An 18,939-nucleotide genomic window follows, 5' to 3' on the forward strand; every position below is an offset into this window, starting at 1 on the left:
TTTGTAGTTTTTATGATGCTCATAGACATTTAAAATCCTATATGTAGAAGAGTCTTCACAGATCATGTAGGATAGTGAATTCAGTTTTAGCGTGTTCTTGTGTTGTCTGTAAAAGTTACCTTTAAGGTACATCTACCAGGATGTACTCGGATGCACGAAGAGGGAAAAAAACTGTCGAGAAGAGAGATGGGGGTTGGCATGTGGAATGTGTTGAAGACAGTAGTTCTTATATTTATTTTTCTCTCCAAGCAGCATTGACCATGGCCTCTGTGCCTTGTAGGAGAGGAGGTTAGGCCAGAGCAGGGATGATGGGGTGAGAGTATTCAGATAGGGAAATGAATAGACAGCAAAATGTACTAAGATTTGTTGTGTCTGCTTCACCTCCATTTGGCTATGTACCTGCCTTGTTTAGCTTATATCATGTTTTCATCCATATAGTAACATATCATATAAATTGCTTAGCTTTTTTTTTTTTTTTTTTTTTTTTTTTTAGAGACAGAGTTTTGCTCTTGTCACCCAGGCTGGAGTGCAATGGCGTGATCTCGGCTCACTGCAACCTCTGCCTCCTGGGTTCAAGTGATTCTCCTGCCTCAGCCTCCCAAGTAGCTGGGATTACAGGTGCATGCCACCACGCCTGGCTAATTTTTGTATTTTTTATTGTTTTTAGTAGAGACGGGGTTTCACCGTGTTGGCCAGGGTGGTCTTGAACTTATCCACCCACCTTGGCCTCCCAAAGTGCTGGGATTACAGGCGTGAGCCACCGTGCCCAGCCCATAAACTGCTTAACTTTTGAAAGGCTATGTTGTCTCTAAAATCAAATCTGATTGGATGTTGGAACCTCAGCTATCGTGCTTTCCTCCCTCACTCTCTAAATCCCTCACACACGTTCACTTATCCTTAGAAAGTGAGGTTGCATTTACCTGGAGTCATTAGTAAAGATTAATTAAACACCTGCTCAGCTGCTTAAACATGTGTGTTATGATACTCCAAAAACAAAGCTATTCAAAATTTATGGTGTGAAGGAGGGTAAATGTCTTACATTATTTTTTATTAACTCTTAAGGTTGAAGGATTGCAGTTTTTGTGTCTCCCATATGGGAGGTAGAAAAACATTCTGAGACATTCATTCGTTTTTAAAGTATCATTCAGAAGAGAAGAAAATGGAGACTTCTGTTTACTTGAGTGAATGATTATTTACACTTTTATTTCTGGCTTGCAATTTGAGAGTTTAGGGGAATTATGCCTTTATTTTAGATATGAATCTCGGAAAATAAGTGCAGTAGGTTAACAAGGCAGGAACATCTTACAATATTACTTCCTTTTCCCTTCTTCATTAGTTCCAGAATGAGTTAATGGCTTATCCTTTAGACTTTCTCCTTTACATTTTTTCCCATCTCTTTGCAGATAATGTCACAAAGTCCTGGTGACACCCTCTTTGATAATCAGAGCTGTTCACAACTCACTTTAGAGCACTCACTCCTGAGCTGCTGGGTCACACCTCCCTGTGCCGGGATCAGCCTGTATGTCAGGTCCTCCAAGCTGCAGTATGTTCGGGGCTTCTGTCCTCTCAGACAGTCCCCAGACATAGGGGCTGAGATATTTTTTGGGGGGACGGGAATCTGAAGCTCTTTCCAGGGTCAGACTGCTTAGTGAGGTCGCTGAAGAGTTCTGAAAGGTTCCTTGATTGAAAATTTCATGGCATGAAATTTCTTATGTCCTTTAAAGTTGAAGTACACCTTTTTGGCGTGGACTTTCTTCTCGAATATGTTTAGCACAGTGCCTGGCACATAAGAGTGCTCAATAAATAGTTTTTTTCCTCTGTTCCAGTAAAAGAGTTGTAAATAAAAGAATTAGAGTGAAATTTTAGAAGACAGAAAAAGTACTATGTACGGCTGAGGTTACAGATGTTTTGTGGATGAGGCTGATTTGAGCCAAGAATGCATCCGTTCTACAGATGCTGACGCTATAGCCTACCGACTGTACTTCAGGTACTCCTATGGAATGAGAATATAATGGTGACCACACGCACAAAGGTTTGCAACCTGGTGAGGTAAACAAACATTCATCAAATAATTGTAGAAATGTAAACTTACATGGGAACAACCAAAATATCCAAAAGGAAAATGGTGAAATAAATCATATTAATTTTCATTTAATATTTTGTAGCCATCAAAATTATTTCAAAGAATTGTTAATTACAATAACATAATTTAAAAAATAAGATATAAAAGTAGAGAATATAATTTCTATTTTATAAAACAAATAATGCTTACCTAGGTGTAGGAAAAGTGATTATATACCACATTAAACAGTGGTTCTTGCTGGTGATGAGATTAGAAAGCATACAGCATGTTCTGTTAAGAGTAGTGTTTTTGCCAGGAGGTAAGTGTATTTGTTTGCATTTCCAGTTAAATCCGTTACGTGCTTTAAATGAGGAACTAAAGTTTTCACATTGATTCTGTCTCTCTCTTTGGGCTGTTTCATTTTTGTTTTAATCAGGTGGGGAGTAAGGAGAAGGCTCCTGTTGAGTGGGACAAGGAGGGTTCTGGTGAAAACTTCATAGTACGGCTCTGAGAGATGTGAGTTATGGGTACTAATTTGCTTTAAGTGTCTGCCCAAGCAGGATTAATCTTTCTCTGCTGTTTATTTTTTATTTTTTGCCTGGCATTTTGTGTCTAAAGGGAAAGTTTCAGAAATGCTTCCAGGGATGATAATGGGAGTTTGATTCCTGGGCATCTGATTAAACTCCTATATTATTAATCAAAGTCTGGAGTGTTCTGGATTAGTTCTACTATTTCAGAGTGATACCTACCATCTTCTATAATCTCAATCCAAAATGGCTTGTTTGAAAGCTTTTCCCTTGGAAGCCACTGATGTGTTATTACTTTTATCAGCTAAAAATAAATTCTGTTTCTAGAGTTTGCTTGTTTATGTAAGTAGCTGAAGGTTTTCAAGCTGGAAATTAACTTTATTATAGAAGTGCTGATGATATAGTCATATAAATAGAATAGGATGTATAAAATGTGAACATTCTAGAAGATTTTCCTCTGATCTGCAAAATTCTGTGTCTGATAATTTTTTTCTTTTTCTATGTTCTATACTTATTTCAAAGACTCACTGGGTCATTTAAAGTGAGGCAGTTGGACTGAAGATAGTGTTGCATACAAACTGTCTTTCATGTCATCTTGGACTTACCCTACTTTGCATGATAGAGATGCCAAGGGCTGGCCTTATGAAGATGAGGCTATTTTCACATTATGATTTGAGAGATGCTGAAAACACCTGTTACTGCTTTCCTTATACCCAAATTTATACACTTAGAGACTTATGCTTTTAAGTCTTGGAGACTATTCATAATGAGTTCCTATTAAGATATGAACATCTAGGATGGAAAGCAGCTACCACCTGGAATCTTACCAGGGTTTTCTGCCAGTCAACTGAGAAGGCAGAGTACAATGACCCAGTGGAAGAAGGGTTAATTACTGCTGGGCCTTAGGGAAGAGCTGGGAGGAAGCTGGCTGCACCAAGGACTTTCCACAGCTGACTCTCCTTCTGCAATGACAGCAGCTCCTATTGTACAGGGCTGTAAAATTATTCAGAAAAGAGCAGGGATAATGCATACATTATGCCTGCTTTGAAATTGGTTGACACTTTACTTCTGGGATTTTTTTTCCTCTTTACTAACTAGCATATACTCTATTCCACCTTTCTCTTCCCTTACCTGCTGATCACTACTCTTTTTAGGAATAATTGAGGGGAAGAAATGTTGCCTGATTTCCCCGTTGATACGTAGCATAGCAGTTCCTTTTGGATATCTCATCTCCTTGTAAGATGGCAGGCCTGGTGGATGCTTTTTAAATGTTTTCCTTTCCTCAGTCGAGCGGAAGAGAAATTGCTGTTATGCTAGATGCCGGAGCACTTGAAGCAAATCTGTTTCCAGGTTGAATATCAAAGCTAAGGAAATTTCCAGAGTAATATGTTTTTAATTTTTTGCTCCCTGATGCTAAGTACACCTAGCGGGTTTGCTGAGTACTGCACCTTCTCTGCCATCCAGCTGCTGGCAGGGACTAGAATAGTTCCAACTGCTTGGCCTGCCTACTGTGTGCAGGGCTGGTTTTGGCTGTGCCAGGCTCCAAGCTTTAAGACTACAAAGGATACCACAGTTGCTGAAGGGCAGGAGCTCCTCTTATAGCTTATTATAGGGTGCAGCACTGCTACAACTCAGGCAAGAGCTTCCTGAAAAGTAAGTATCAGGGAGAACTATTTTGCGTCCATTTTCAAGATAGCCACGAAAAAATTGTCCACTTGTTTAGAAAGGTGCCATGATTTGTGCTTTGAGATACAATTTTTTAAATGGTTACTTTTCTTTAATTATTAAACACTGTAAGCAAGGATAAAACACAAATCAACCAATATTTGCAATACATGTGATGGACAAGTTAGTAAGAAAACAAGCAACATCCTAGTAGTAAAACGTCAAGAATAGGCAGTTTACAAAAAGAAGTACAAATGTCTAATATATTTTTATTAGATTAAAGATTTTATTAATCTTTTATTATTAAAGATTCTAAATATCACTAATATTTAAAAAAATTAATTGGGATGCCATCAGGCTGAGGGGACCTCCAGCACCCCGGGTTCCTATGTAAGCAAACTGAACCCAACTCAGTAAATGGTCATATCCTAGGCCAATCAGAAATTACCAACTAACCCCTAACTAGGGACTTTACTAAATAAGGCCACTGCTCCTCTTCAATCAATCAAATATTTTCTTTACCTTGCTTCTGCATTCACCCCAAAAAAGCCTCTCCGGCCCCCACCCTTTCATTGGAACCCTGAACCACTTGCAGTGTTGTGTTGCCTGATTCATGAATTGTTGTTTGCTCTAATAAACTTTAACATTTTCACATGCTTTCGTTTCTGTTTTAACACAACAAAGAAAGAAATGGCCATAAAAGCATACATGTTTAAGCATGAAATTAACAAAGATTTTTTAAAAACTCACAATACCCAGTGTCAGTGAGGAAATGAGAGAAGTGTCTTCTTAATACTTCTCATATACCAATAGGAGTATTCATAAGGATACGATTTTTTTTTTTTTTTTTTAGAAGGACTCTCGCTCTGTCGCCCAGGCTGGAGTGCAGTGGCGCGATCTCGGCTCACTGCAGGCTCCGCCTCCCGGGTTCACGCCATTCTCCTGCCTCAGCCTCCCGAGTAGCTGGGACTACAGGCGCCCGCCACCACGCCCAGCTAATTTTTTGTATTTTTTAGTAAAGACGGGGTTTCACCATGTTAGCCAGGATGGTCTCGATCTCCTGACCTCATGATCCACCCGCCTCGGCCTCCCAAAGTGCTGGGATTACAGGTGTGAGCCATCACGCCCGGCCAAGGATAAGATTTTTAAAGGCTACTTGGCAATGTATTAGGACAAGTTATACATTGATATTTTTTGACATAATTTCCGACCTCCTAACTCATCTTAATATAAATGAACAAACAAAGGGGAATGATCTGAGATTATCAAGTACAGTATTATTTTCATGTGACTCTCAGTGGAGAGCTTACTCTGCCTCCCATTTCTTCTGATGTGTAGCTCACTAGATTCAGGGCTTAGTCCCAAAGTAAGCCCAACTTACTGTGCCAGTAACTGAAAAGACATTTTATTTATTCCTGACAGAATGATCATACATATTCTGAAGCTGGTGCACCTCCCTCCTCCAATTTTTTGAAAGAGCCACTTTTCATTTCCTGCAACCCAATTTAAATCGTTAGCATCTTGCACACGGCAGTTGTGATAATGGTCTCCAGATGAAGCCTCACCCAAATGGCAGCTTTTCCCAGGGCTCAACATGGCTGTAGGTCCTTATCTAGGACAGGTTGGGTTTCTCCCTCTCTGACTGGCACCAGGGGCTAGAGGTTGGATGGGTGTTGGGCTGCTGAGGAAACAGCCAGACTCCTGTTTTTTCTCCCTACCCTGCCATTGTTGCCAGAGCTTCCATTCCCTTTAGAAACATGTAACTGAGCATATTGGCCACATGGGAGACCCCACGCGTGTGCCCTCATAGCAGCAGTGCTTTGATCTGTAATGATTAATGGTGTCTCCACGTGCAAATGTCATTAAATGGTCAGAGCAGTGAATGTGGGCATCACATAGTTGTGTTGTGGACTTTTTTCAAGAGGCAGCATTTGGAATTAGAAACCTACTTACATACACTTTGCACTAATTTACATATAAACCTCAAACAACTCACTCCAAGTGCTCTTCTCTGAATTAAGCTAATTAATGTGGCTAACCACGGTTGTAGTGAAACCCGGTATTAAGGACATTACACACATGAAATACTAAACAGATTTACAAAAACATAATCATGATAATGGCGAATGAGTTCAGGCCAAATGCAGGTGGCATTAGCTGCTCCATAGCTCTGATTCCTCATGTTGGAGTGATAATCTCAATTAACAAACTCTCCCAAACTGTGCCTGTTTAATAGTCAGTTGAGTTCAAAACAAGGAAAAGAAACTATTGACTGTCTTTCATTTAATAGCCACTGTGTTAATGGTGCCATAGTTATTATTTCACATTTATTTTATTATCTAATGAGAAATCAATGTAGTGAAGTTGGTTAATGAAAAGAAGAAACACACAGAGAAGGTCACGTTGCAGATCACGTTAAGAGCGGCTCTTAGGGTTTTCAGGGTACAACATGCATAACTGATGCTAGAGCTTTGAATTTCCCCCCAGTGGGAAATTTACCCTCTTCAGAGATCAGTGAGTAGAAGGAATATGTTCTCAGGCAATAAAATAATTATTAAAATTCATGCTAGTCTTTTTGGGTCACCTGAAAATACTGATCTTAATAGGTCTTAAAATAACTAAATGATTAGCTTTTGTTTTTGTTGCAGTTAAATTACATACCCATTTATACTAGAGTCCAGTACAGGTTAGCGTTCATAAGTTCCTCTTTCCCTGGAAACTGTGGGAGAATAAATTGGGAAGAGAAAAATATTTTAATTTTAGCAGGTATATTAGTCTCCTTGGGCTGCCATAACAAAATACCAGAGGCTGGGTGGCTTAAAGAATAGAAATGTATTTCTCACAGTTCTGGAGGCTGAAAGTTCCAGATCAATGTACCGCAGAGTAGGTTCCTGGTGAGCTGATGGCTGCCTTCTCACTATGTCTTCATGTGGCCTTTGCTCAGTGAATGGGAGGGGGACGGGGCGCAAGCAAGAGGTCCCTGATATCTCTTCTAATAAAGATACCAATCCTGTGGGATTGAGCACTAACCTTATGACCTCATTTAACTTTAATTACTCCCTTTGAAGCTCCATCTTTAAATACATCAACCCTGGGGGTTGGGGTTTCAACGTATGAATTTTGGGGAGACACAGACTTTCAGTCCATAACAGCAGAAACTGCTCAGTCTCCCTCCCTCTCAGCCATCCAGTCCAGTGTGGGCACAGCTATTTGAGGACTGTTTAGGAAATAATAGTGTGGTCTTGCAGAGCAGTTCTGCTGCCCCATGAGTTTGGAGCATGAATGATATATTTGAAGTGTGTACTTCTGGTGTGTGGGGAGTGGTGGTGAAGGACAGAGGTCAGGAGCAAGGAAGTCACGCTGAAGTAACATGTGGGATGTTTCCAGTGAGATAAAGCATGGATTATTTGACAAACTAAAAAAGTAGTTCAGTTGGGGAGAGGTATATGTGGTGATGTGAAAGTGCTGCAGAATGAAGCTGGACAGGAAAAATGGGTGATATAAAGGAAGAAGCATCCCTCTCTTTTTCAAAAATAATCAGGGGCCTTGAATCAGCCTCTTCATTGGCAATACCATGCCAAGAAAGATTAACAGCTTGAAATCAGGAGACCCAAGTTTTAACTGAGCTCTGTTCCCAAGAGTTCCCATATGACAGTTTGCATTCTCTGCCTCCATTTCTTAGTCATACCTATGGCATATACTAAGTCTACCTTTTTCTTTTAAAAGACAGGGTGTCACTTTGTCACCTAGGCTGGAGTGCAGTGACCCGATCGTAGTTCATTGCTGCCTGATCTCCTGGGCTCAAGTGATCCATCTGCCTCAGCCTCCTGGGTAGCTAGGACTATAGGCATGCACCACCAAGCCTGGCTAATTAAAAAAAAATTTTTTTTTTTAGAGATGCGGTCTTGCTATGTTGTCCAGGCTCATCTCAAACACCTGGTCTCAAGCAATCCTCCTGCCTCAGCCTCCCAAAGCACTGGTGTGAGCCACTCCACCTGGCTGGCTTTCACAATATTACGGAATCCTTTTGTAGTAAGAACAACTTCTGAATCATTGCCCTGGTGTCTTTTGCTATTGTAGTCTTAGGGTCTAGAACCGTCTGCTGTGAACCTGTCAATAATGGGGAAGTTTACTTATTGCAAATGAGTTCAGTTCTGTGGTAAAGAATTCTTTTTTTTCTCCCACTAATCCTCCAAGGGCATGACCTAATAAATCTTTACCAGCCAAATTTTACTGTGAAGGGCAGCCATGGTAAAATTCACCACTCTTGGCCTTAGGCAGAGAGAGAGAGCCCTAGCTAAGAAGTCAAAGTGAGGGAAAGTCTCTAGTGCTGCTCTCCAGACTCCAAGGTCAGAACATACCTTTCCAAAATGGTCCCGTTCTATGTTGTGGGAAAGTTCTGTGGTAATAGAGTGCTGTGTTTCCATTACATGACAGCCTGATCTCTTTATTTGGCCTAATCTGAATTTCCAAATCCAATACTCTGATGAACGTTGTCTGTATATAAAATGTATGGCTGTTAACAACCCATAAATAAGTTGATAGAAGGTAATTTTTTACACTTTAGGGTACATTACCTAGGGCAATATTAATTTTTTATTTTTAAAATTAAAAAAATTGTGGGTACATAGTAGGTGTATGTATTTACGGGGTAGATGAGATGTTTTGATACAGGCATGAGATATAAAATAAGCACATCATGGAGAATGGGGTATCTATCCCCTCAAGCATTTATCCTTTAAGTTACAAACAATCCAATTATACTCTTTAAATTATTTAAAAGTGTATAATTAAGTTACTATAGTCACCCTGTTGTGCTATCAAACACTTTTATAGAGTTACTATAGCATATTGATTTTTAAAATAAGTAATGTGCCCTATCTTAGCTCAATTTCTGCCAACATCAGAGTGATAGTTCAAAATTATGAATATGAGTGAAGTCTAGAATGAACTCACTAGTGTCTCTGATTGACTCTGCCCGTTGCCCTGCCATGGTTGGGGTGCCATTATATCCTCTGCTCTACTAAATCTTACTCACCCACTAGGTTCTCAATTTTTTACTTCTGTGATTTCCCCTTCTTTGTACATCTTTTGGGCCTACTTGATTAGGCACTCTCTTGTCCCACTGAATTCTTTTTCAGTTAATCCTGAATTAGGTTTTAGGTCCCATGAGGGAAGGAGATGTAGCTCATGCTGTATCTGTACTGGCACCACCATTTGGCTCATTTTTATGTGTCCAAATAAGAGGCTGTTTCTCCTACTGTCTCCCAGGTTCAAGCAATTCTCCTGCTAATTTCTGTATTTTTGAGTTTTACCTTGTTGGCTGGGCTGGTCATGAACTCCTGATCTCAAGTAATTCGCCTGCCTTGGCTTCCCAAAGTGCTGGGATTATAGGCAAGAGGCACTGCGTCTGGCCAACAAATTTAAACAAATAGTAAGCATACAAAATATGCTCTCAGATCTCAATGAAATTGAAGTAGATAAAAAAAAAACAGAAAGAGAGCTGGAAAATCTTCAGATACTTGATATTAAACATCACAGTCATAAATAACACATGGATCAAAGAAGTATCAAGAGGAATTAAAAATTATCTTTAACTAGATGAAAATGAAAGTACATAGCACTGAAAGCATATATTAGAAAAGAAAAAATCTAAAATCAATAATCTAGCCTTCTACCTCAAGAAACTAGAGAAAGAAGAGCAAGTTAAAATCAAAATAAACAGAAGAAAAGAAATAATAAAAATTAGAGCAGTCATCAGTAAAATTGAAAATAGGAAATTAAAAATCAAGGAAAGAAAAGTTGACTCTTTGAAAATATTAATAAAATTGATAAACTTCTAATCAGGATAATTAAAAAAAGAGAAAAGACACAAATACCGAGGTCAGAAATGAAAGAGAAACTATTACTGCTAATCCTATGGATGTTAAAAGGATAAAAAAAATGGATACCTATCTGAAATCGATCAATTATTAGAACAACATAACCTACCAAAACTCACATAAGAAGAAATAGATAACCTGAATAGACCCGTATCTATGAAAGAAATCAAATTAATACCCTTCCCAAATAAAAAACACAAGCCCCACTTGGGTTCATTGGTGAATTTTACTGGACATTTCAGGAAGAAATTATCTGAATTCTCAACAATCTCTGCCAGAAAACAAAAGCTAAGAGTAAACACTTTCTAACTCATTCAATGAGGGGAGCATTACACCAGTACCAAAATTAGGCAGAGATGATACCATAAAAAATTACAGACCAATGCCTTTCATGAACATAGATACAAAAATCGTCAACAAAATATTATTACAGCAAAGTAAATCCAACAATGTATAAAAAGACTTATACCCTATGACCAGTTGGGATTTATCTCAGGCCTACAAGGCTGGATCATTATTCAAAAATCAATTAATGTAATCCATAACATCAACAGGCTGAAGAAAATCACACAATCACATCAATAGATGCAAAAAAAGCATTTGACGAAATCCAACTCTGATTTATGATAAAAAAAAAAGCTTTCATCAAACTAGAAATAAAAGGAAAATTTCCTCAATTTAATAAAGAACATCTACAAAAAGTCTTCAGCTAACATCACACTTAATGGTGGGAAAATAGGTACTTAGAGAATACGTAAATAGTCATGTACAGAATGTTGGCAGAAATATGCATGTTAAGGGTGATTCTAATGAGGTCTCACATGGAACTCATTAATCAATGAAGAACATATTATTGGATAATGGAGAAAAGATGACTCTTGTTATAAAGTGACAAACATTTCGTTAAATTGTCTTCATGTTCTAGTGTTTTGAGGAAAGTAGAATTTTTTAGTGATGAAATCAGATATTTAGCTAAGGAAATTTATAAGAAGGTGTTGCAAGAGTGGCTTGGTTTCTCCTGACTACTTATAGTAAAATGTGAGAAAAGATAAATGAATTGAAGACAAAATTGCTAAAGCAAAGGAAGCAGAACTTAAAAATTACACACATTTTCACCATGTTCATATTGCAAAAAAAAAAAAAAAAAATTAGAAAATGTGTTTGGGGCCAGGTGCTGTGGCTCATGCCTGTATTCCCAGCATTTTGGGAGGCCAAGGGAGGCAGATCACCTGAAGTCAGGAGTTCAAGGCCAGCTTGGCCAACATGGTGAAACCCTGTCTCTACTAAAAATACAAAAATTAGCTGGGTGTGGTGGCAGATGCCTGTAATCCCAGCTACTTGGGAGGCAGAGGCTAGAGAATTGCTTGAACCCAGGAGGTGGAGGTTGTAGTGAGCTGAGATTGTGCCATTGCACTCCAGCCTGGGCAACAAGAGTGAAACTCCATCTCGAAAAAATAAAAATAAAAAAATAAAAGAAAGTGTGTTTGGAAGGGAACACCAAGATGATCAATCATTTGATACAATTAGCATATCCGTGAACCATGAACTTAATCAGCCATTTCAACAGAAGTCAGAAATAGAGATGGAAGTATGCCAGCACAAAGACTGTCAGCTGGGACTAAAGGAAAGAGAAAAATGGGATGGAATGAAGGAAGGATGTGAATGTGAACTACCCTTAAAGGACAGATAAGAAGAACCCTGACAACTTGAGTAAAGTTTCAGGATTCAAAATTAATGCACAAAAATCAGTTGCATTTTTATATACCAACAACCCTCAAGCTAACAATGAAATCAAGAACTCAACCCCATTTACAATCGTCACACACACAAATAAAAAACCCTAGTTAAATACATTTAACTAAGAAGGTGAAATAGCTCTACAAGGAGAACTACAAAATATTGATGTAGACGACACAAATGAATGGAAAAACATACCATGCTCATGGATAGGAAGAATTAATATAATTAAAATGACTATACTTCCCAAAGCAATCTACAACTTCAAAGAAAATTCTATCAAATTACCAACATCATTTTCCACAGAATTAGAAAAACCATTCTAAAATTTACATGGAACAAAAAGAGAGCCAGGACAGACAGAGCAATCCTAAGCACAAACAACAAAGCCAGAGGTGTCACATTACCCAACTACAAACTAAGAGTCAGAACGGACAGAGCAATCCTAAGCACAAAAAACGAAGCCAAAGGCATCACATTACCCAACTTCAAACTACACTTCAAGGCTATAGTAACCCAAATAGCATGGTACAAAAACAGACACATAGATCAATGGAACAGAGTAGAGAACTCAGAAATAAAACCACAGCCCTACAACCAACTGATCTTCAACAAAATGAAAAGAAATAAACAGTGGGGGAAAGGACACCATATTCAATGAATGGTGCTGGGAAAACTGGCTAGCTATACACAGAAGAATGAAACTGTACCCCTTACTTTCACCATATAAAAAATTAACTCAATATGGATTGAAGGCTTAACTGTAAGACCAGAAATTATAAAAATCCTAGAAGAAAACCTGGGAGAAATCTCCAGACATTGGCCTAGATAAAAAATTTGTGATTAACACCTCAAAAGCAATAGTAACAAAACAAAAAATAGACAAATGAGACTTAATTAAACTAAAGTGTTTCTGCATAGCAAAAAGAACAACCAAGAAGGGTAAACAGACAACCTACAGAATAGGAGAGAATATATGCAAACTATGCATCTGACAAATGACTAATACCCAGAATCTATAAGAAACTTAAATAAATCAACAGGAAATAAAACCAAATAACCCCATTAAAAAATGGGCAAAGGACATGAACAGACACTTATTAAAACAAGACATACAAGCAGCCAACAAATATTAAAAAAATGCTCAAAATCACTAATCATCAGAGAAATGCAAATTAAAACCACGTTGAGATACCATCTCACACTAGTCAGAATGGCTTTTATTAAAAAGTCAAAAACAACAGATGGTAGCAAGGCTGCACAGAAAAAGGAACACTTATATACTGTTGGTGGGAATGTAAATTAGTTCAACCACTGTGGAAAACTGTTTGGGGATTTTTCAAAGAACTAAAAATAGAACTGCCATTCAATCCAGCAATCCCACTACTGGGTATCTACCCAAAGGAAAAGAAATAATTTTATCAAAAGACATTGGCACTCATGTGTTTATTGCAGCACTATTCACAATAGCGAAGTCATGGAATCAATCCAGGTGCCCATCCATGGTGGACTGGATAAAGAAAATGAGTTAGGTATACACTGTAAACTAAAAAGTATCTGAGACAGGTCTCGATCAAGTTAGAGGTTTATTTAGCCAAAGTTAAGGACATACCCCACCCCCCCAAAAAAGGAGCACAAAACGAAAAGACAAGTCTGTGGTCCATGCCTTTTTCCAAAGATGATTTGAGAGCTTTAGTATTTCAAGAGGAAAATCAGGGTAGAGAGGAAAGAGGAGGGTAGATTCACATTACTGAATCTACATGTTGTGAGAGAAAAGAAGGTAGGGGGGTAGTCAATTATGTATTCATCTCCTGCTCAGTAGATTGGCACTTTACATAAGGTAAAGTGAACATATCTGTATCTGGCCTTTTACCTGTAGGTATCTGCCTAGGTATAAGCAGGTATCTGGCCTTTAATAAAATGCATCTGGCCTTTTATCTGCAATTATCTGCTTAGGAACAAAAGGAAAGGCAGTCTCTTGCATGATTCAGCTTTCAGCTTAATTTTTTTCTGTAGGCATAGTAAATTGGGGTCCTGAGACTTTATTTTCTTTTCATTACACCATGGAATACTATGCAGCAACAAAAAAGTATGAAATCATGTCCTCTGCAGCAACATGAATGCAGCTGGAAGCCATTATGCTAAGCAAACTAACACAGAAACAGAAAACCGAACACTGCATGTTCTCACTTATAAGTGGGAGCTAAACATTAGGTATACATGGTCATAAAAACAGGAACAACAGACACTGGGGAATACAAGAAGGAGGAAGGATGGAGGAGGACATAGGTTGAAAGAAACTATCAGGTACTATGCTCACAACATAGGTGATGGATACATTCATACTCCAAACCTCAACATACCTATGTTTATTACATAGGTAATAAAATTCTAAAATAAAAGTTGAAAAAAGTTATATAAAGAAAGGAAGAGATAATATCATTCACAGCAACACAAATGAAGCTGGAGGCCATTATTCTAAATGAAATGACTCAGAAACTGAAAATCAAATACTGCATGTTCTTACTTATAAGTGGGAGCTAAACAATGATTACATATGGTAATAAAGACAGAAATAATGGACACTGGAGCCTCCAAAAAGGGGGAAGGATGGGAGAATGGCAAGTGTTGAAAAACTACCTATTGGGTATTATTTTCACTATTTGGGTAATGCGTTCATTAGAAGTCCAAATCCCAGCATTCTGCAATATACCTATGTAACAAACTTGCATATGTACTCCTTGAATCTATAGTTTTTTTAAAAAAAGAACCCCCAAGGTGATTCAGGGGTCAATAGGGCTGCCACTCCCACCACAAGTCCAGAATGCATGGATCTATGGAAAAAGGCTGTATCCACCTTGGTTTCCAAGAGTGGGACCACGACCTAAGAGAGTCATGAGGGCACCTGACAGAGCCATGGGGTGTGACTGCGGTCCCAGTGGGTCTCTGGGGGCAGGATCATTGTCCTAGTAGGCTTGGAGGATAGAGTATTGAGCCAAAGAGAATTGTTCTTGAGTTCTAAGATCTTATGGGATTTGCCTTGGTAGGTTTTGGATTTGTTTGGGACCTGTCACTACTTCCTTCTTTCATATTTTTCCCTTTTGAAATGAGAATGAGAATGGAATGTTTGTTCTATGCCTGTCTCATCACTGTATTTGGGAGGCACATGGTTGGTTTCACAGGTCCACAGCTGGAGAGGAATTTTGCAACAGGATGAATGTAGCTCGAGTATCACAAATCTCTGATTTAGATGATATTTACAATCGACTTTGCAATTTAGAGTTGATGTTGAAATGAATTAAGACTTCTGGGGTTGTTGGGATGGAAAGAATGTATTAAAAAAAGAATATTTTAAAAGTGAGAAAGTCATGAATTTTGGGGGGCTAGAGGTGGAATGTTACAGACTGAATGTTTGTGTCCTTCAAAAGTTCGTATGTTGAAGTCTGAACCCCACTGTGATGGTTTTAGGAGGTGAGGAGCCTTTGGCGGGGGTTCTTAGGTCATGAGGATGGAGCCGTCATGGATAGAGATTAGTGCCATTACAAGAAGAGACACAAGAGTATGCATTTTTTTTCTCTCTCTCTGCTATCTGCCAAAAGAAGACAGTTAACTGCAAACCAGGAAGCAGGCTCTCACTAGGCACTAGCTCTGCTGACTCCTTGATCTTGGACTTCCCAGTATCCAGAACTGTTAGAAATAAATGCTTGTTGACGTAGTATGCTTATTATAGCAGTCCAAACTGACAAGACAGACCAGGATCCAAAATGTACAAAGAACTGTTAAAATGAAACAATAAGAAAATTGGGCAGGGGCCGGTGCCTCACACCTGTAATCCCAACACTTTGGGAGACTGAGGTGGGCAGATCACCTGAAGTCAGGAGTTTGAGACCAGCCTGGTCAACATGGTGAAACCCCGTCTCTACTAAAAATACAAAAATTAGCCAGGTGTGGTGGCACATGCCTGTAATCTCAGCTACTTGGGAGGCTGAGGCAGGAGAATCGCTTGAACCTGGGAGGCAGAGGTTGCAGTGAGCCGAGATCATGCCACTACACTCCAGCCTGGGTAGTAGAGTGAGATTCCATCTCCAAAAAAAAAAAAAGAAGAAGAAAGTTGAAAACCCAATTATAAAATGAAAAAAAGTTCAGAACTAATACCTCACCAAAGACATGTGGATGACAAATTAATATATGAAAATGCTCAAGGTCGTATATCACTAGGGAATTGCAAATTAAAACAACAATGAGATATCACCACATGCTTATAAAAATGGGTAAAATCCAAAGCACTGACAACAATAAATATTGGCAAGTATGTGGAACAACAGGAACTCTCATGTATTGCTGATGGGAATACAAAAATAGTATACCCACTTGGAGGACAGTTTGGCAGTTTCTTACAAAAGCAACTATATTCTCATCCTATGATCCAGCAGCTGTACTCCTCAGTATTTACCCAAACCTGGACAAGCTACATAGTATATAATTTTAACTATTTGATATTTTGTAAAAGACAAAACTATGGAGATGGTAAAAATATCAGTGGTTGCCAGAAGTTCAGAGTGGGGAAAAGAAAGACGAATAGTGGAGCACAGAGGACATTTAAGGCAGTGGAACTATTTTGTATGATACTGCAATGGTGGATACACGTCATTGCACATTTTTCAAAGTTCGTAGAATGTACAACGCAAGGAGTGAACTCTAATGTAAAGTATGGGTTTTGGTTAATAATAATGCATTGACATTTGTTAATGAGCTGTAACAAATCTACCGTACTTTGCAAGATGTTAATGACAGTGAACCCATAGGAGGAATGAGGAGAAGAAGCATATGGGAACCATTTGTACTTTCCACTCATTTTTTCTATACATCTAAAACTGCTCTAAAAGTAGCCTATTAATTTAAAGCATCCAAATGATGATTATCAAGAGTAGAATGAATAAATAAGGTGTAGTATGTTTATATAATAGAATACTGTGCAGCAATTAAAATGATCAAACAATATCTACATTAGTGTCATTGATGACTATCACAAACATAGTGTGTAAATAAAGCCAGGTGCAAAAGTATACTTACTATATAATTCCAATTATGTAAAATCCAGAAATCAGATGAAACAGGTTCTGGTGTCCTGTTGGACACAACAATGGTGGCGTAGCTTGATGAACTAACACTCCTACAGATAATGGTGATAAAATGTGGACAAATAATATGTCTGTATCTATAGTCATATCTATGTATCTATGCAGAGAGCTGTATCTGTATATATTATATATATGAAATTCTATCTTACATATATATGAAATGATATATTACATATATAATTTTATATAATTATATATTACATATATAGTTATATATAATTATATATTATGATTCTGTTATTATATGTTAAATATAATTTTTATATATAATATATAATTGCTTTTTGATCTCCAAAAAACAGATAAAATTGTGAAGGAGTCTAAACTTGAGTGATGAGAATTATAACAGAAAATATTTACAAATTTGAATTTTTGCTTCAAAATACTTCACAATCTATATGTGGTCCAGGCAGGCAGAAAACCAGAGTCTTACTTGTTGTGTCAGAGGATTTTTGGGTCATGCTGGGGGTTTAGGGGAGATATTTTGGAGGGGAGGGAACCACAAAGGGGTGAATCCCAAAATACGTATGTTAAGTTGCCTGCAAATGATTGGTGAATCTTTGAGCTACATATATGCAAGGCAGAACCCAGGGGCCAAACGTAAAAACAATCATTGGACTCTGAATGAACCGAATGAAAATTTCAGTTGTGCTCACTGTAGGAAAGATAGAGATTGGGGTTTGAGTCCAGCCAAGTTAATTCATTGTTAGAAAAAGATCAACCCTATTCAAAAAAATACAACAGAATCCAGTCTCTGTAGCTGTCATTCATAGGGTCTAGCACACACTTAAAAAAAATCAGGAGATGTATGAAGCTACAGGAAAATGTAATCCATACACAAGACAGTAAGTAGGCAGTAGAAACTAATCTCAAAATGTCCCAAGATGTTGTAATTAGCTTACAAGGCTTTGAAAGCAGCTGTTATAAATATGTTCATGAGGGTCAAGAAAAATGCCTTCAGAATAAATGAACAAAGTCAGTAGAGAAATGGAAAGGATAAAAAGAACCAAATAGACAAAGAGTTTCAGACTGGCAAGATAAAAGGAGTTCTGAAGATTGGTTACACAATATAGGTGACAGTATACGGGACAGTGTGGAGTCACATTGTAGGGGAGAGTGTGGGAGACAGTGTAGGGGACCATATGTGTGAGTCATATGTGGAGGACAGGTTGGGGAAAAATTTAGGGGACAAGATGGGTAATAGTGTGGGATCAATGTGGGGGAGAGTCTAGTGCTTACTACCCTCCCTAGAATTTCCAACACTATGCTTAATGGAAGTGACAAAAGCAGGCAGCTTTGTTTTGTTCCTGCACACCATGGCTCTAATGTGAGTTTATTCCAGAGATAAGGGTAGGATCCTTTTCATCTTTACTGCCACCACACAGAATCAAGGGCAACAGTTTAGTTTGAAGTTGGAGTGTCTGGGTTCTAATCAGAGCTGAATAACCGCATCACATCTTAGCTGTGTGACCTTGGACAAGTTAATTGCATTCACTTGTCTCGGCTTCCTTAGCTTTAAAATGAAAATAATAATAATAGTACTTACCTCAAAGAGTTCTGATGTCTCAAAGAATTTAACGTAGGTGAAGTATTCAGAACAGTGCATTGCACAAAATCAGCACCACAGAAGTATTTGTTACTGTTAGAACACATATGCAGCCAGTGTTTTCTAGTTATTTTTTAAACTAATAAATATTTCAAGCCAAAATAGAATGCAGATGATTTCCCCACCTTTGTTATCAAATTCATGGGAATCATTCTAACAGTTGAAAATTTTAGGTCTAGTGAAAGATTAATACTTTATCATTAGTTATATGTGGGGAAATGTTTTGGAAGACATGAAATTGTCACCCCTCAAATTGTAAGGTTGATATGTTGGGTAGACCCTCTGTCTAGTGTCCTGGGAGCTAAATCATTGTCTTGTT

This window comes from Homo sapiens, chromosome 8 (genome assembly GCF_000001405.40).
Source record: "Homo sapiens chromosome 8, GRCh38.p14 Primary Assembly".
Taxonomy (NCBI): Eukaryota; Metazoa; Chordata; class Mammalia; order Primates; family Hominidae; genus Homo; species Homo sapiens.